General features: G+C 46.5%; 1 long non-coding RNA gene across 1 annotated transcript in view, besides 1 other annotated feature; it reads right to left on the bottom strand.

Annotated features, from left to right (window-relative positions):
- Positions 1-931: 931 nt before the first annotated feature.
- Positions 932-16105, bottom strand: part of MIR4527HG (MIR4527 host gene) — a 308827-nt gene continuing 293653 nt past the window's right edge. Inside the window, exon 3 of the long non-coding RNA NR_147192.1 lies at positions 932-1433. This is a non-coding gene — a long non-coding RNA (MIR4527 host gene). The remainder of the gene's footprint in view (positions 1434-16105) is intronic.
- Positions 12656-13156: an enhancer, noted in NCBI's record as "H3K4me1 hESC enhancer chr18:45108697-45109197 (GRCh37/hg19 assembly coordinates)". NCBI's record gives its function as "activates a minimal SCP1, AML or CMV promoter by ChIP-STARR-seq in naive H9 embryonic stem cells {active_cell/tissue: H9 hESC(naive)}" and the evidence as "EXISTENCE:reporter gene assay evidence [ECO:0000049][PMID:30033119]".

Here is a 16105-nt window from a genome sequence, read left to right as displayed (position 1 = left end):
AAAACTGCTTTTGCCAACACCCACATCTGGAGGCCCTGCTGGCCGTGGGTAAGGGGACAGTAATGTTTCAACCTTCTGCCCATTTACCCCTTCTCACACTCTATGAAGACCCCCATTCTTTTCCACCTGCTGAGGCCAGGGGTCTTGTGGATCCCAGGTGAGGCTAGAGGGGGACTGGCAGTGCCGACAGCCTGGAGGAGGTGAGTTGGGATAGTGCTGAATCCTTCTAAGCTGCCCAGCCAAGAAGGGTAGGAGGTGTCAGGAATGAAAACCAACCAGTGAGCGCTAAAAACCCAACAACAAGCACTTAGTCCTGCGAAGCGGCAGAGAAAGGCTCAGTCTTTTGGCAGTATTTTTTTTCTTCCTCCCTTCTCCCTTTCCGGATTCACAGCAATCTTCTCTGGGCTGAGCAGGTTTGTCTGCTGCTGTTACTATGGCTGCTGCTGCTCTTGGATGCCCGTGTGTGTGTGCATGTGTGTGTGCGCGCACACGCGGGCGAGAGCGTGTGTATGAGAGCATGCGTGCGTGTTTTCTCCAGAGTGACTGGTTTGTGCTGTCATCAGCCGTTGTTTTGGTAAATGGCGAGTTAAACAGATATATCCAAGCGTAAAATCTAAAAAATGTTCCCTCTGGGCGCCTGGGGGGTGTTGTTTGAAATCAACTACATATCAATTGAGCGGCGGCGAGCGGATCCGATGATAAATTCCAGTCCACAGACGCCTTATAAATTACATTTTTTTGTTCGCGATCTTGCCTCATCTCAGCTCCCCAGAGGCCCTTAGACTGAGAACTATGATTGTGTTGGAGAAACGTTTGCTCAGCTTGAGTGAGGCCATTAGCATTGCATGTGCCAGTCCGTCCCTGCGCTCCCCCCACCTCCCCCTGGCCCCCCCACCCGCCCCTTTAACAAAATACAATATGTGCCTGGTAATTTTTCTGTTCATTATCTCATTGTTTTCTGTAAGTACAAGGTTAGATTGAATTACTGCGGGCTCCGCCGTCTATTTGTAATTCTCCTTCCATGCCGAGCTGCTAATGAATGGGCAATTTAGTCAATTCTTTGTAACGGCTTCTTCTGTGCGTCAGCCACTTAATTACTCTGAGCCTTTCTCACTGCTGCTTTATTGCACGGAAAGTCGGGGCTGCTTTGAGGGCTTGGCATAGGGATCTCCAGCTTCCAAAAAGGAAAAAAAAAAAAAAAAAAGAGGAAAAATTGTCAGAGGCAACCAGGATTCGGTATTCTTGCTGCTTCCTGCGGTGGCTGGAGAAACATTCTGTGCCCTCAGCCCACACAGCCCCCGTTCTGTCTGCACACAGGGTTTATCTTCCTCCTTCTTTGCTGACAGTTGGCTTAATCCTGGCTGTGGCAGTCACTGTCGGGTGGCAGAAAGGCTCAGGCTCCTGCACAGAGAACAGTATCCTAGGGGAAGGTCCTGGTGTTTTAAAACATTATTATTAGCCTGATTGGTATGCCACCTATCCCTCTTATCAGTATCTCCAAATCATAGCCAGAGGTCCCATTCTGTGACATCCAATGTTTCCTCTTTGCCTTAATACAGAGCACCTCACCCTTGTGACATCGGGAACTGGGCGGGGTGTTTATTATCCCCATTTAACAAAGGGAAATAGCAAGTCCGGGCAGGTGAAGGGACTTACTCGGGTCAATGAACCAGGAATGTCAGAACCAGGACTTGCATCCAGATAACCCAAGACACCTGTCCTCTTCCCATGCCATCCTGCTGCCCAAGGGAAGACTTAAGAATATTGTCCTGTCACTGAACTCAAGTGTCCCAAGGTGGAAATAGAGTAAGTTGGCTTTAAAGGGACCGGGACAATTCTGGAAAGGGAGGAGACTTTCCGGTAGTGGCTGAGGGGCTAAAAACCCCCAAGGAACTGGGAACTCATTAAATAGAACATCCGTTTTCAATGTGGCACGTTTGGATACATCTGTCATGCTACCAGGATATTTCTGTGTGGCCCAGAGTTATTACAGATGCACGTATAATTTATCGTCCAAACTGGGACATGTCTGAAAGTGAAATGAGGCAGGATCATGCTGGAGCCACAGGAGTGAACTGGGACTGTCCGGAGCAAGCTGGGTCGTATGGTCACCCGACCCAGGTAATGAGAATGTGTAAATGCTGTGCAGATAGCGTGTCTTCAGACCGGACTTACTCTGATGATAATACTTAGAGGGAGTCCCACCAGCTGGATCTACCCTGAGTTTACAGACATTCCCTGTGTTGCACATTGCAGTGATGTATATGAGCTACAGGGCATCTTTACCCAAATCCAGAAAGTGATGGATTCCACAAACACTGAGTGAGCACCCAGCTAGGTAATAGAGACATAAGAATGAGAAGACAAGGTTTCTGGCATTTTGATCCGACTGCTCTACCAGAAGGAAGGTAAATGGTTGTCTAAATGTCGCTAATCTCCCCAGATAGCCTCCTGAATGCGCCGGGCCTTGCTTAAAAAGCTATTGTTTTCCTCTGGATTCTGGCTCACTCCTCTTCATCCTTTGGATGTCAGCATAAATGTTGCCTCCTTCAGGAAGCCTTCCCTGATCTCCAAGATTATATTAGGACCCCTTTTATTCTATTTCATGGCATCGTATACTTTTTGTCTTCATTACTTACCACAACTGTAACTAAATTATTTATGTAGTTATGTGTTCAATGTCTTTCTTTCCCCTCCCCCACTCAACCTTGACCTGTCTGTAAAAGTACAGAGCCTGGCACATAGATCTAGAAAAGTGTGTTAAACTGAACAGAGCCAACCACTTTTCTGGGTCAAGCTCTAGTTGCTTCCTCTGCCGAAAGCCTTCCTGGGTTGCTGCAGCCTGTTCTAATCTCTCTCTTCTCTGAGTTCCATGTAGCTCACACAATCTGCAAAGCATCACGACATTCTCTATTCTATCCTGGCTGTGCCCATTTTCTATAACTTCAGGGTTCTGAAATCAATTTAGTAGGCTGAGACCAGGAGGATGAGGAGGAGTGGGGAGGAGAGGAATAGAAGCAAATGGTGGAAAATACTGGGATGCATCACGCTTGGTAAGGTGAAGGATTGTGTCAGGAAACTCATTTCAGTTATGTCTGTGTACACACATAACACACACATGCACACACACACATGCACACATACATATGTGAGGTTGGTCACAGTGTGAGAAGTGTGTCTTAAACTGAGGCGCAGTCCAGAAAGTTTTGCCAACCCTGCCCAAGGGTGGCGCCTGCTCAAGGGTTGCATTTGTGTGAGTTTGTCAGGAGGAGCTAAGTGGGCCTCTGATGCAGTGGTTGCTCATCCCTACCAGACTTTCCTTGCTCAAAGATCTAGGTGGAATAAGGTATTGTACCTGCCGCTCACCTGTGTACACCTCCAGAGAAACTGAGGGTTTTAAGTGCCAAGGTTCCCCAGGTGGCCTCTCATGCCTATTTCTCTGGTGCTTGTCCATGCCTTGAGTTTCCAGGGCAGATAGAGCTGCCACATCCTCTCCTGTGGGCTTCTTCAGTAGTGCAGGTCTCTGCTCCACCTCTGGCAGGGTCTCTCCTCCAGCAGGCAGCAGGTCCCCCACCTCTCCCTTTGGTTTCTGGTGTCCTGCTGTGGGCCAGACAAGCCATTTTCTCTTTCCTTCTCTCTCCTGTCTGCCGTAGGGGAGCACTTACTGACATATTAAGGCTTGCTGTTATTTCACCACCCTGAGCCTCAGTTTTCTCATCTGTCACTGCATCCTCGTAAGATCTTGGAGATAATTCAGTAGCAGAAAACACATGTGAAGGGACTGGCACAAAGAAAGCACTCAGCAAGTCCTCCCTGCCTCCACCCTGCTTCCTTCTCTCCCTTCCACCACAGCAGGGCTGGGGCAGGAAGTGGGCTGAAGGGTTAATGTGGGGCAGGGCTGGGGTTGCTCTAATGCCTTCTGCCATCACAGTCTAATTCTATGTGTGCTCAGTGTCCTCCTAGGACAGGGCCGTGGGCTCTGCATGGATGTGGTGGACTCTGAACACTGCTGGAGAAAATAACATAGGATCTTCGCTTTTAATACACATGGGTTCAATTTCTATTTCACAGGAAGTGGCACCAGGGGCTCTCCCAAGTCAAGGGGCTATCATATCCTGCCCTTGAGTGTTTATCATCTAAGCAGGCTCCATGACCATGGAAATGGAAGGTTGAGCACAAACCCCTGTCCTCTTGGAGATTTCATCCTGCAGGTAACAATGGTGATAGAGCACTCCTGTGCGCCGGGCTTTGTTCTAAGCCCTACTTATAAAATAACTCATTTCATCCTCACGACAAGTCTGCAAGGTGGGTGTTGCTTAATCTGAACTCATTTCAACCTCACAACAACTCTAAAAGTTGAATGTATTAGTCTGTTTTGTGACACTATAAAGAAATACCTGAGGCTGGGTAATTTATAAAGAAAAGATGTTTGATTGGCTCACAGTTCTGCAGGCTGTACAGGAAGCATGGTGCCAGCATCTGCTTGGCTTCTGGTGAGGCCTCAGGAAGCTTAAGATTATGGCAGGAGGTGAAGGGGGAGCCAGCGCATTAAATGGTGAGAAACGGAGCAGGAGAGCAGGGGGGGAGGCCCCAGACTCTTAACCAGATCTCTCTTGAGCTAATTGAGCAAGAACTCACTCATCACCAAGGGAATGGCTCTAAGCCATTCATAAGGGATCCATCCCCATGATCCAAACACCTCCTACCAGGCCCCACCTCCAACACTGGAGGTCACATTTCAACATGAAATTTGGAGGAGATAAACATCCCAACCATACAGTGAGTGTTGGTGAATGCCCATTTTACACATGAGGAAAGTTGTTATAGTTCAGAACTCCTGTAACTTTCCCACGGTCACCTAGGGAATAAGGCAGCAAAACTCAGGTTCAAACCTGGGCAGCCTGGCTCCAACACAGAGCCCAAAGGGAAGACACGAACTCCTTCACCTTTCAGACAGAATGCAACACTTCAGCGCAAGTTTTTTTGGAAAACACCCTGGCAAAAAGTAGCATGTATCCTGGTTTTTAAAAAGTTCATTCCCTTTGATGCAATATTGGGACTCTAAGAAGTTGAATCAAGACCACATATTATAGAGGGAAACAGAGAAAACTTATCTACCGGCAAAAAGGTGCTCAGGTGTCATTCTGAACACCAGTCAGCCTGAGGTGGCCCTTCTCCCAGGCCCTACCCACTTTGGATACGTTTCCTCTGTAATAATGAGTATACGGTCTGTCTGTCTGCCTCCCCACTAGATACTCTGATTAATGAGGGTGGGGACTCTGTTTTATCAACAACTGAATCCCTATAGTTAACAAGAGACCAGCTTAAATTGAACCCTTAATAAATATCTATAGAAAGAAGAGGTGATAATGGCTGAGTCTACATGGTGGATACATGGTGTTGCCTGTAAAATCCATTTTTTTTTTTTTGAGACAGAGTCTCACTCTGTCACCAGGCTGGAGTGCACTGGTGTCATCTCAGCTCACTGCAACCTCTGCCGCCTGGGTTCAAGTGGTTCTCCTGCCTCAGCCTCCCGAGTAGCTGGGACTACAGGTGCGCACCACCACGCCCAGCTAATTTTTGTATTTTTAGTAGAGATAAGGTTTCACTATGTTGGCCAGGATGGTCTCGATCTCTTGACCTCATGATCCACCCCCTCCTCAGCCTCCCAAAGTGCTGGGATTACAGGCGTGAGCCACCGTGACAGTCGCCTGTAAAATTCTTTTACCATTGCTGCATGTTTACAATTTTTCAAAGTAAAATGTTGGGGGAAAAAGACAGTAAACAAAAGAAATGTATAAGCATATTATAATAATTTAAAATATGTTTATGCATGTGACAAAATGGCAGGAAACTAAGATGACATCTGCAAAAATGTATGTGGAAAAAATGGTAGAAGAAAATATTAGGTTTTGCGAGTTTGCCGTAACTTTTAATTAGAGTCCCAATATTGCATCAAAGGGAATAAACTTTTAATTTGCCATTAAAAGTAATGGTAAAACTGCAGTTACTTTTGCACGAACATAACACATAGAATCTTAGTAAGAGTTTGGGATGGCACTGTGCATGATTTTAACATTTCACTTTTCTTGTATTTTCTATATCCTTTGCAATGGACATGTTTTACTTTGATAATGAAATAAGTTTATTTTTATCTGCTGTGAGTCCTTAGCCCAGGTTTCTATAACAAAACAATAGGTCCCACTTTTAGCAAACCCATTGCATGAAAACTTGGACAAACTTGGACTCCATGGCAGAAGTCTGTGCTTTACAGCAGGATTTCCAGCAGTGCTGCTTTCCAAGGCCAGTCCTCTGAAGACATGACAGAACAAACCGGTCCCCATGGCTGATGTCAGGTGGTGGCAGCCCCAGCCTCCTTGAATTAGAAGAAGTTGGTTCCTCACCAAGAGGGAGTCAGCCTTCCCCTCTTTGTCTCCCAGGTTTGGAGGCTGCAGAGGCCCTGTGGCCACTCAGCTGCCTCTCACACAAGGGCATAATGCCCTGAGCAAACAGGTGATGGATAGCCCAGGTCTTTCCCCACAGAGGTCAGCTCTCACATCCCCTAGGAGAGGTGCATGCCAAGAGACCTCATCCAAGTTGACCTGGCCCATCAACAATGCCACACACCTCTGCCCTGCCTGTCTAACCCAACCTCAAGCCACCCTCATCTCCCCAGCTTGGCCACAGTGATGGAGTCTGCTGAAGACTCCCAAAACAGTGATTTCTGTGACTACTCCCATGCAACTACCACTCTCCAAGTACTCTGCCCACCAGCCTCTCCACATTGCCCATATCCCTAGTACCCAGGCATGGGCCTCAGACATGTGTCAATGAATGAGACCAATGCTGATGTCCTGCCAGGAGGGACTTTGCAACGCTGCTAGAAGCTTCTGAACTGCTGTTTCTGACCCAGCTCTCACCAGCAGTGCTCTTGAGCAAGTTTTAAAATCTCCATGGGTGGCAACTTCTATCTTTCAAAAGGAACTAACATTTATTAAGCACCTATAATCAGTCAGAGGCTATGCTGTGAGCCCAGTTAATTCTCACCTGATATTTTGGGGTCTAATTATGATCTTCATTTTCCCAGTGAGGTAACTGAGGCTCAGGGAGGTTAAATAACTTTAATAAGGTCAAAGCTCCTAAGTGACTAAACCCAGATTTGAGCAAAACTTCTATAATTGTCAAACAAATGAAAGGAATTACGAACATTTTGAACCTCCAGGCACTCTCTTTGACGATACAATTGGAGAGCTAGTTGTCAGTGATTCACATCTTACTGGGAATTAATAAGAAGGATTTCTTCCTTGACCACTGTCCAGGACTCAGTTATCACAAGAGGGAACTTTGCAGTCATTTACATTATAGTATTAGTTAATCAGAAGGCTTTCCACTTGACAGCTGTCCAAGACCCAGGTACCTAGAGAAGGGGATTTTGGTTAATGGGAGGTGAATGATAGAAGGAATGATCTTGGACAGGTGACAGACATGAGGAGGGCAGGCCCTGTTTTCTCCTAAGGGAATGCAAAGGGCTGAACCTTTGGAGAGGATAACTAGGAACAAAACACACTTCCACTAACTTCTCTTTGTGACTAAGGAGTGGATTTCTGCATGTGATTTCAGATCACTGAGAGAACCAGGTGTGTTGACTTTCCATCCAGTGGGACTAGGAACTGGAAAATTGCCTGGAATTCAACCTTTAATTCCAGTATGGAGCAGAGAAAGCAGCCGTGGCTCCCTGCCAGGAGCCCTGGGCTGTGTGACTTTGGGCAGGCCTTTCTTCCACGCTGAACTCCAGTGTCCTCTCAAATGAAACCTGGGGGTTCCTCCAGTGTCAACTCTATGGTTCCATATGTTAGTGCTGGTACTGGGCTCATCTCAAAGGTAAGGGTTTCCACCATGCCCTTAAGAAGAATTTCAGATGTAGGATGGCGTTGCGGGGCAGAAGGGTAGGTCATCTCCTCACCCTGAACTTAGGGATGACCTGAAGGAGAGATTCAAAAGTGCTGTCACTCACTCATTACTGACATTGGTTACAGCCAGTCCCTCCTTGCTCTGAAATTAGCTATCTCCCTGTCTCCTGCATGAGACCCTGAGCTTTTGAAAGCAGAGACTGCATTTTGTCACCTCCAAACCCTCAGCTTCTTTCATCATGCCTGGCACCATGATGCTGCAGTTGCTCATTGCAGGTTTGGTGAATAAATGAACAAAATAATGGAATGTGTGCCTATGAGAATTAATTTCATAAGGCTTTATCTTAATAAGAAGATGACATTCTGGAAGCCAAAAGACACAACTTACATTTGACCCGGGCTCTCATTTTCTACCCCTTCCCTTCAATTATTTACAAGAGGCAACTCCCACTTAATAGACAGAAAAGCTGAGACCTAGATAGGACACATGACTTGGAATTTTACTTATGCAAAGCAGAGATTCTCTATCATCTTTTAGATTCCTTAATATTAGACATGAGGAAATTGAGGCCCAAGAAGTGAGGCAATGATGACATGAGGTCCCACAGCTCAGCAGTGGTAGGGTGGAGACAAGATTCCAGCTCCCAAATCATAGTCTAGAGCCACTTAACACAGAGCTCAGGCAGCCCTGGTATCCAGCTCCAGGTTCCCATGGCAACTATGTGGAACAAACCATCTTCTTTGGGTAGCATTGATTAATTCTTTATATTGCTTTTCTCTTTCTTTGAGGGGAAGTGTACTCTTCACTCTCCCTTCCTTTCATTTATGAAAGGAAGAGACTAGGATGCCTTCCAGAAACAGGTATCCAGACAATAAATGAAGATCCTGGCTGATATAGGCCTGAGAAGGTCTCAGGATTCGCCAGTGCCTGTAAGTAGAATTAATGACATGGAAAAAAACATTCTGGAATCTGTTTGGAATTCCTTGGCTTATCATTGACACCCATTTCTGCACATCTCTTTCTGAGTAGTAACAGCCTTTAACCACATGAAAATATGTGACAGGCCCCTGGCAATTCATGCTTTCCAAGAGGTTTTTATCGTATTTATTTCATTTGATTCTGTGGCATAGACAGGGCAGGTATTGCCATTTTACACATGAGGAAACTGAGGCCCAGAGAGGTTAAGTTCACAGCACTAGTGTAGAATTCCTCAGCAGATAGAATTCTCCTTGTCTGAAAAGAGGCCAAAGAGTCAGCACCTGTGAGGTGTCAGACACTTGCGAGATCCCTAGATACCTCAGCGAGGGCTCAGCCATGCAGAGATGGATAGGGGGCCTGTGAGGGGGCAGACAACAAACAACTCACTAAACTGAGATCCCCACACGTTGTTGTAACTTCCATGGAGGAAATACATGTAGGAACACCTTCAAGATGGCTGGGAATGTAACTCTCAGAGGCCAGCATGTCATTTGAAAACCAAGTGGTAGGAAAGGGGCAGTACAGGAGACGAGAAAGAGACATTGCTTGGTGGAAGCAGCAAGCCCTGAAGTATCAGCGTCCTGAGAGGACATGGTTTGTATCCTCAGGCAAGAGGAAGGAACCCAGTGAGGGACCAGCGTGGAGTAGGGAGGGGAGGAGAGACTGGTTGAGTAGACAGGGGCCAGAGTATTTCAGGCCTTCTAGGCCAGGTAAGATATATGCATACTATCAAATGCACCTTTACACCCATATACACAAACATGGGCATCTGCACACCCAACCACACATACGCACACATGTGTGTGCTTAACATGTTCACATGTGCACTGACACACATACATAAACTTACCTGAAAATGCATGTACACACAGAAGCACAAATACACAACTCTCTTACACACATTATCATCTGCACTTAAACACACTTGCTCACCTATCCACACTGATTGCACCCACATGCACATTCATATCTGCACAAAAGCACTCACACACACTCTCCTGCACATGTGTGCTTTGTTTCACAGATGCACACATTTCTACATGCATGCACACTTGCCCACTCACACATAGCTACTCACATGTGCATGTGTACAGCCTACAACAAGCCCAGCTCAGATAAGCTCTCAGCCACAGATAAACTTCTCTGCTGGTTGGTTATAATCTTTCATTGGAACTGACACGTTGATAGCCCCAGTTTTTCTAGGAAGTGACCTTCATGCCAGCTATTGATTTCTAGTGACTATCAGGCGCCTGCCACTGGAGTGACAGGCCCGGTCAGAGGTCAGCCCTTAAATAAAGCTTCTGGATTACTAAGCACCAGCCACTCTAATGAAAATGGAAATTGGCATCCCTGGCTCCCTTTTATGTGGAGTGTTTCCGCTGATGGGGTTTCAGCTCCGAGTGACCACCTGCACCCCCTCTCCCAGACCCAGGGTGCTGTGGGTGCCCACAGGTGTGTGTTTTACCAGGGAGCTGGACCAAAGGCTATAGGTGGTGACAGCTACCACGGCCTGAAGCTTCCTGGATTCTGCCTTCTAGCAACATCCGGGGCTGTCCCTATAAGCTTGACATTCAAGTAACAGACAATTGCTACAGGCCCCAAGACCCACAGGTGACCGGCTTTGTGGTCTTGGGCAGGTGGTGTCATCTCTCTGAGCTTTGGTTACTTCCACCCTTTCTGCCTCATCCACACATACTTGTTCATCTCCTCCCATTTCACAAGGCTGGGATCCAAATAAATGAAGAGGAAGTGTACCAAGTTGTATACAAAACAGCACAAGATGATGCTACTAGTATCCCTGTTTTAAAAACATCACAATTATGAATTATAAAATTCTACTTAATTAAATCACATGTTTATTTGATGATCCAGTAGCCTTTCTTGTTGCTGCAGCATCTTGGGGTCTTGTGGCAAGCAAAAGTTATGGGATGGGAAGGAGCTGAAGGAAGCTTTGCCTTTTGCTTCTCCTGCCAGGAACACAGAGTTCCCACTGCCTCACCTGGTATTCCGGACTTGTGACAGCCTTCCAGCTGATCACAATCAAACCTATCAGCCAAACACCATCTCTGAAACATGCCCTGTGTTTCTACTCCCATTAGTACCTACGCCCCCCACCAACACCGTCCACCCCCGTGGCTTCGCCCTGAATGCACCTTCTCTCCCCTCTATCTGTGTGAGCACACCACCCCCAGACTAGCCTACAATCCTCCTCCTCCTTGCAGCCTGCCCAGATCACATAGCTCATACAATCCAGGAATCCACGAATAGTCCTTTCTCCTCTTTGGCTTCAGGAAGTGCATTCAGCCTTCCTTCTGAATAATTTTCACCTCAAATATAGATTTACCACAACAAAAAACCTTGTCTTGAATAATGTGGATTGGAAAAAGCAGAAAAGGCTGCCAGCCGCCAGCTTCCTAGTATCCCTCCAGTGCAAACATCTGTCCCTTCCTGACTCTACCTGTACATCTAATGACCTTTCTGGCCTGTGTGTTCCTTTGGAACAGGGGTCATAAAATGAAGTTTGCATGTCCTGAAGGGAAGATAAGCAGAAATTAGAAATGTCATCAAATTAATTATTTGGCAAAGGAAGTGATTTGTTTAACAACATCAGGGAAGCAAGAGTTGCTGGTGGACCCTGAAACTCAGATAAATCACCCATGTTGAAGGGAAGAAGCCCAAGCAATCTAGGTGAGTCCATCGGCCAGACCCTTGGCCACAACTTGCACCAGACCAGAACCAACTGGGGACCTCCTGGCCTGCAAGACAGCAAGGGGGCATGCAATTCAGGGAAAGGGGTCAAGAAGAGTTCAGGCTGTACAATTTATATGTGTGGTTGGACCGCTTTACTGGCTTATATATAACTTAATGCCTACTCCAGATTCTATAAAACAAATCTGGGGACAGGCACTCTGGAAATAGGTTTGTTTTACTTAATAAGCACAAAAGATGTTCACAAATTTGCCACTTACTTCTAGAGAGGGTTTAAGGCAAGTTGTAATTAAAGACTTACATGCAATTGTTAAAATAGCAGTAGCAACCACTTGACCACTTTCCTATATTCTAAAATTCAAATATTTCATTTTTATAGAGATGGAATCTCCTAGCTTATAGACTGATTTAAAGGGCTCTACAATACCCTGCCCCGTGAGTTCTACACCAACCTAGTAAAGTGACTGAAATATCACAGAGTGCACTGCTTTGGTTTTTCTCCCCAGGGATCTTTTACAATGTAAGCATCCCTGGGAGGGGTTCTAACTTTCTCTCACCACCCTGGGTCCTGTGGGTCAAATGTTGTTATGGTGCAAAGGGGTTGCTCCAGGGCACAGAAAGGGGAGCTCTGGGGGAGATGGGCTGTGGGGAAAAAGAGGCCCTGTGTAACATAGTGGAAACAGCGCGAGGACACAAAATGAGCATCCTCTGCCGCAGGCCAAGTATGCAATCATAGAACATTCAGGGCCCCACATGCCATGTTTGCCAAGCCCTTACACTGAGAACAAGGACACAAGGCTGCAGCAATGTGCAGGAGGCTTCCAAAAAAAAACTGGATTTTAAACCCAGCTTAACTCTCACTTCTCAGGCCTCAAGAAAATCACTTTCCCTCTCTAAACTTCAGTTTCCTCATCTGCAAAGTGGGGTCAGGAATTCCAACGATACAATAAATGGTTGCAATGATTAGGCAACACGGTGTTCATAAAATATTTGCCATCTGTTTATGCTGTCCCAGAAATGGTTTTTGTTCGGGGAACATGCATGCCTGCCACGGTCATAGCTCAGTAACTCACTGCCCAATTTGTCTTACCTTTAGAGCTGCCCAGCAGTTCTCAAAGGGGTTGATTTTTCTCCTCCTCCAGGGGACAATTCAGCAATGTCTGACATCATTTTTGGTTGTCACATCTGGGACAGGGGTGCCACTGGCATCTAGAGGGAGGAGGCCAGGGATGCTGCTCAACATCTTACCATACATAGGACAGCCTCAGGCAACAAAGAATTATCTCGCCCCAAATGGCAGCAGTGCCAAGGGTGAGAAACCCTAAATACAGAGAAGCCCTAAATAATCTCTTGAAGAGATTATTTTCCAGTTCTGTCTTCCCCTTAGTAGATGAGCACAACAGTTCTGAAACACTTCCATGTCCTGAATGCCACAAAGACTTGGGGGCTGCATGAGGAGCTGCTGCCTGCCTCTCCTCACCCCGAGGCCACTCAGCCAGATGGCAGAGGGGTCAGTGGCAACCAAACATCTAATGATGTGTGACAAGTCTGGCCAGACAGCAGGCCCAGGCTGGGCCCCTTCGAGGCCACTCATTGGGCAAGGGGGACTCATAAATAACAGCACAGTGACAGCCCAAGTCTTGCTCAGTGGGAGGGATGAAGCTCTGCCTGGCTCCCAGCCCCTGGGGCAGGCCTTTGTGGGACAGGGCTCCAGCGGGAGGGACTGAGACAGGGCTGAGGATCCCATGCAGAGTGAATGTGCTGGTGAGACATTGAGTAGCCTGTCATTGGGGTGTCTGTCCTGACGGTGACTGCCTTGGCCACATTAGCTCTATTCCTGATGGTGAACTATTCCTAATTTCTGACCTGGTGCAATTTTGGGCTTCAAAGCATTTGCCCAACAAAGCATGTGTGATAAGAGGCAGAGTGGTAAGGTGGCAAGCTTGTTGAAAATCCAAATTTCAGTCCCAAGACCCCCTCATTTTGCTATATGCACTTGAGCCTCCATCTCCTCATCTGTTAAATGGGGATGCTTGAGCAGAAAATGTGCTAATTCATGAGACATTATGTGAGAAGCAATACATTAGTGGAAGGAATGATGATGATGATAATGACTATGATTATGCTTTTTCAACCATTTGGGAAAGAAGAATTTATACTGGGGAAAAAAAAGCATACCTTCTGATGCTCTAAAAATATTAATCAGTCTTAAGGTTTTCAGGCAGTTCCAAATAGGCTCTTTGCAATAATAATAGTAATAATGATACCCATATTAAACGGCGCTTTTATTTTCACATTTATTTTTCTCAAGCCTCATGTGGCTCAAAATGGGACCTGTTTCCAATGATGCGTATTCTTCTAAAATAAAAGTAAAAAAAAAATCGAAACAAGCGGCTGGTACACAGACCTACTTTGCTTTTTTGTTTATTGAAGTCCCGGTTTAGATGGCACGCTAGGGCGGGATGGCCACTGAACTGAGGCTGGTGCCTCTAAGCACAGCATTCAGCTGATTGGGTCTCAGTTTTGTCACAAAACAGGGATACTAATTTCTTCCCAACTGTCTCAGGGCTGCTGTATTAGTGTGACCATGTATGTGGGTGCTTCATGATAAAGTTAAAGCATCATCCCATAAGAAAGTCTTACTACCACGATCATTATCTTCATTATTATTGTTAATTATTCTTCATAATGATGTTTGCAAGATGGAGTTACTCCAAAGCACCATTTCTGTGAACAGTTTTTAGATACTTTCACAAAAAAGTCTCTGCATGCATATGATGAAGAAACTGACCCTTTAAGAACTCCTTCTGAAATCCAGGCTGATGTTTTTGAATTCTAAACAACTCCCCACCCCCTTCTTTTTATTTCTAGCTGGAAAACCGGACTCAAGAAAGGGACCTCCCTCCTGGCCCCTGCCTTATAACTCTTCTATAGAAATGGCTCTGTTGGCCCAAGACCTCGGATGCCAGTTTTCAGCCAGGAGCACATTTTTGCAGGGAGGGTTATAAATCAAAGCCTGGGTTCTAATGAAACCACTGACACAACTTTAACTGTAACAGAGCGCACCCAGGCACCACTCGAGAGAAATTAGAGGCGCAGAGCAAGTATTCCAGGCACTAGGGCACCTAGGGGGCCTTCCCCCTCCCTTTTTTCTCTCCTTCTCCTTTTCTTCCTCCTCTCTCCCACATTGCTGCTTTTTCCCTGTATAATTCCTATAGCGTCTCTAACTACCGGCTTATTCCGCAGCATCTTTGGGACTCAGCCTCATGGCCAAGCTGCAGACTCTGCCATCACAGCTCCCCCAGGGAGGCCCCCTTCCTGGCCCTCTCAGGGGGCAAGGGGGCAGAGCCTGCACTGCTGTAGGCAGCAGAGGATGGTGAAGGGCGAAGCCCTGGATTCAGGCAGGACACTGTCCTAGTCCTGGCTCAGACACTTACTGATCGATTATGCATGCTTTTGGGTGAGAGTTGTAACCTCTCTAAGACTCAGTATTTATAACTGTAAAATGGGGATAACAACAGCACCTCCCTCAAAAGGCTATTGAGAGGATTAAATGAGATAGGTAAGGAATGGGAGGAGAGGGGAACAAAGGGACAGTTGTGGCTTCAGCTGCTGAGGACCTTTCCGGTCACTTCTAGGAGCCAGCCCCTATCCAGACTGGTTTTTGTTTGTTTGTTTTTTGAGACAGAGTCTAGCTCACGCGATCTTGGCTCACTGCAACCTCTGCCTCCCGGATTCAAGTGATTCTCCTGCTTCAGCCTCCTGAGTAGCTGGGGTTACAGGCATGCGTCACCATACCTGGCTAATTTATTAATTTTTTTTTGTATTTTTAGTAGAGACGGAGTTTCACCATTTGACCAGGCTGGTCTCGAACTCCTGATCTCCAGTGATCCGTCTGCCTCGGCCTCCCAAAGTGCTGGGATTACAGGTGTGAGCCACTGCGCCCAATCAGACTGGTTTTATACAGAACCATAGACCGTTACTCCCACAATTTGATTTCAGAAGACTGAAAAGGGCACATCATCTATTTCAAATATCTATTACAATTGATGTCATCGATTCACCATTATCAAGTTATCTGAAAGAAAAGTTATTTAAGGCCTGGCACAATGCTAGGTGCATGGAATGTGCTCTCTCATTAGCTCACCCCTAAATGAGGGAATTAGAATTAAGAGCTTGAGGAATAGGCGGGGCTCGGTGGCTCACACCTGTAATCCCAGCACTTTGGGAGGCCGAGGTGGGCAGATCACTTGAGTCCAGGAATTCGAGACAAGCCTGGCCAACATGGCAAAACCCCGTCTCTACTAAAAATACAAAAATTAGCCAGGCTTGATGGTGCACGCCTGTAGTCCCAGCTACTCAGAAGGCTGAGGCAGGAGAATCGCCTTAACCTGGGTAGCGGAGGTTGCAGTGAGCCAAGATGTTGCCATTGCACTCCAGCCTGGGTGATACAGACTCTCAAAAAAAAAAAAAGAGCTTGAGGAATACCCAAGCTCTTAATCCCTCA

The sequence above is a fragment of the Homo sapiens genome, chromosome 18 (genome assembly GCF_000001405.40).
Source record: "Homo sapiens chromosome 18, GRCh38.p14 Primary Assembly".
NCBI classification, from domain to species: Eukaryota; Metazoa; Chordata; class Mammalia; order Primates; family Hominidae; genus Homo; species Homo sapiens.
The sequence above is the reverse complement of the archived record's forward strand: the minus strand, read 5'-3'. Positions and strand labels throughout refer to the sequence as shown.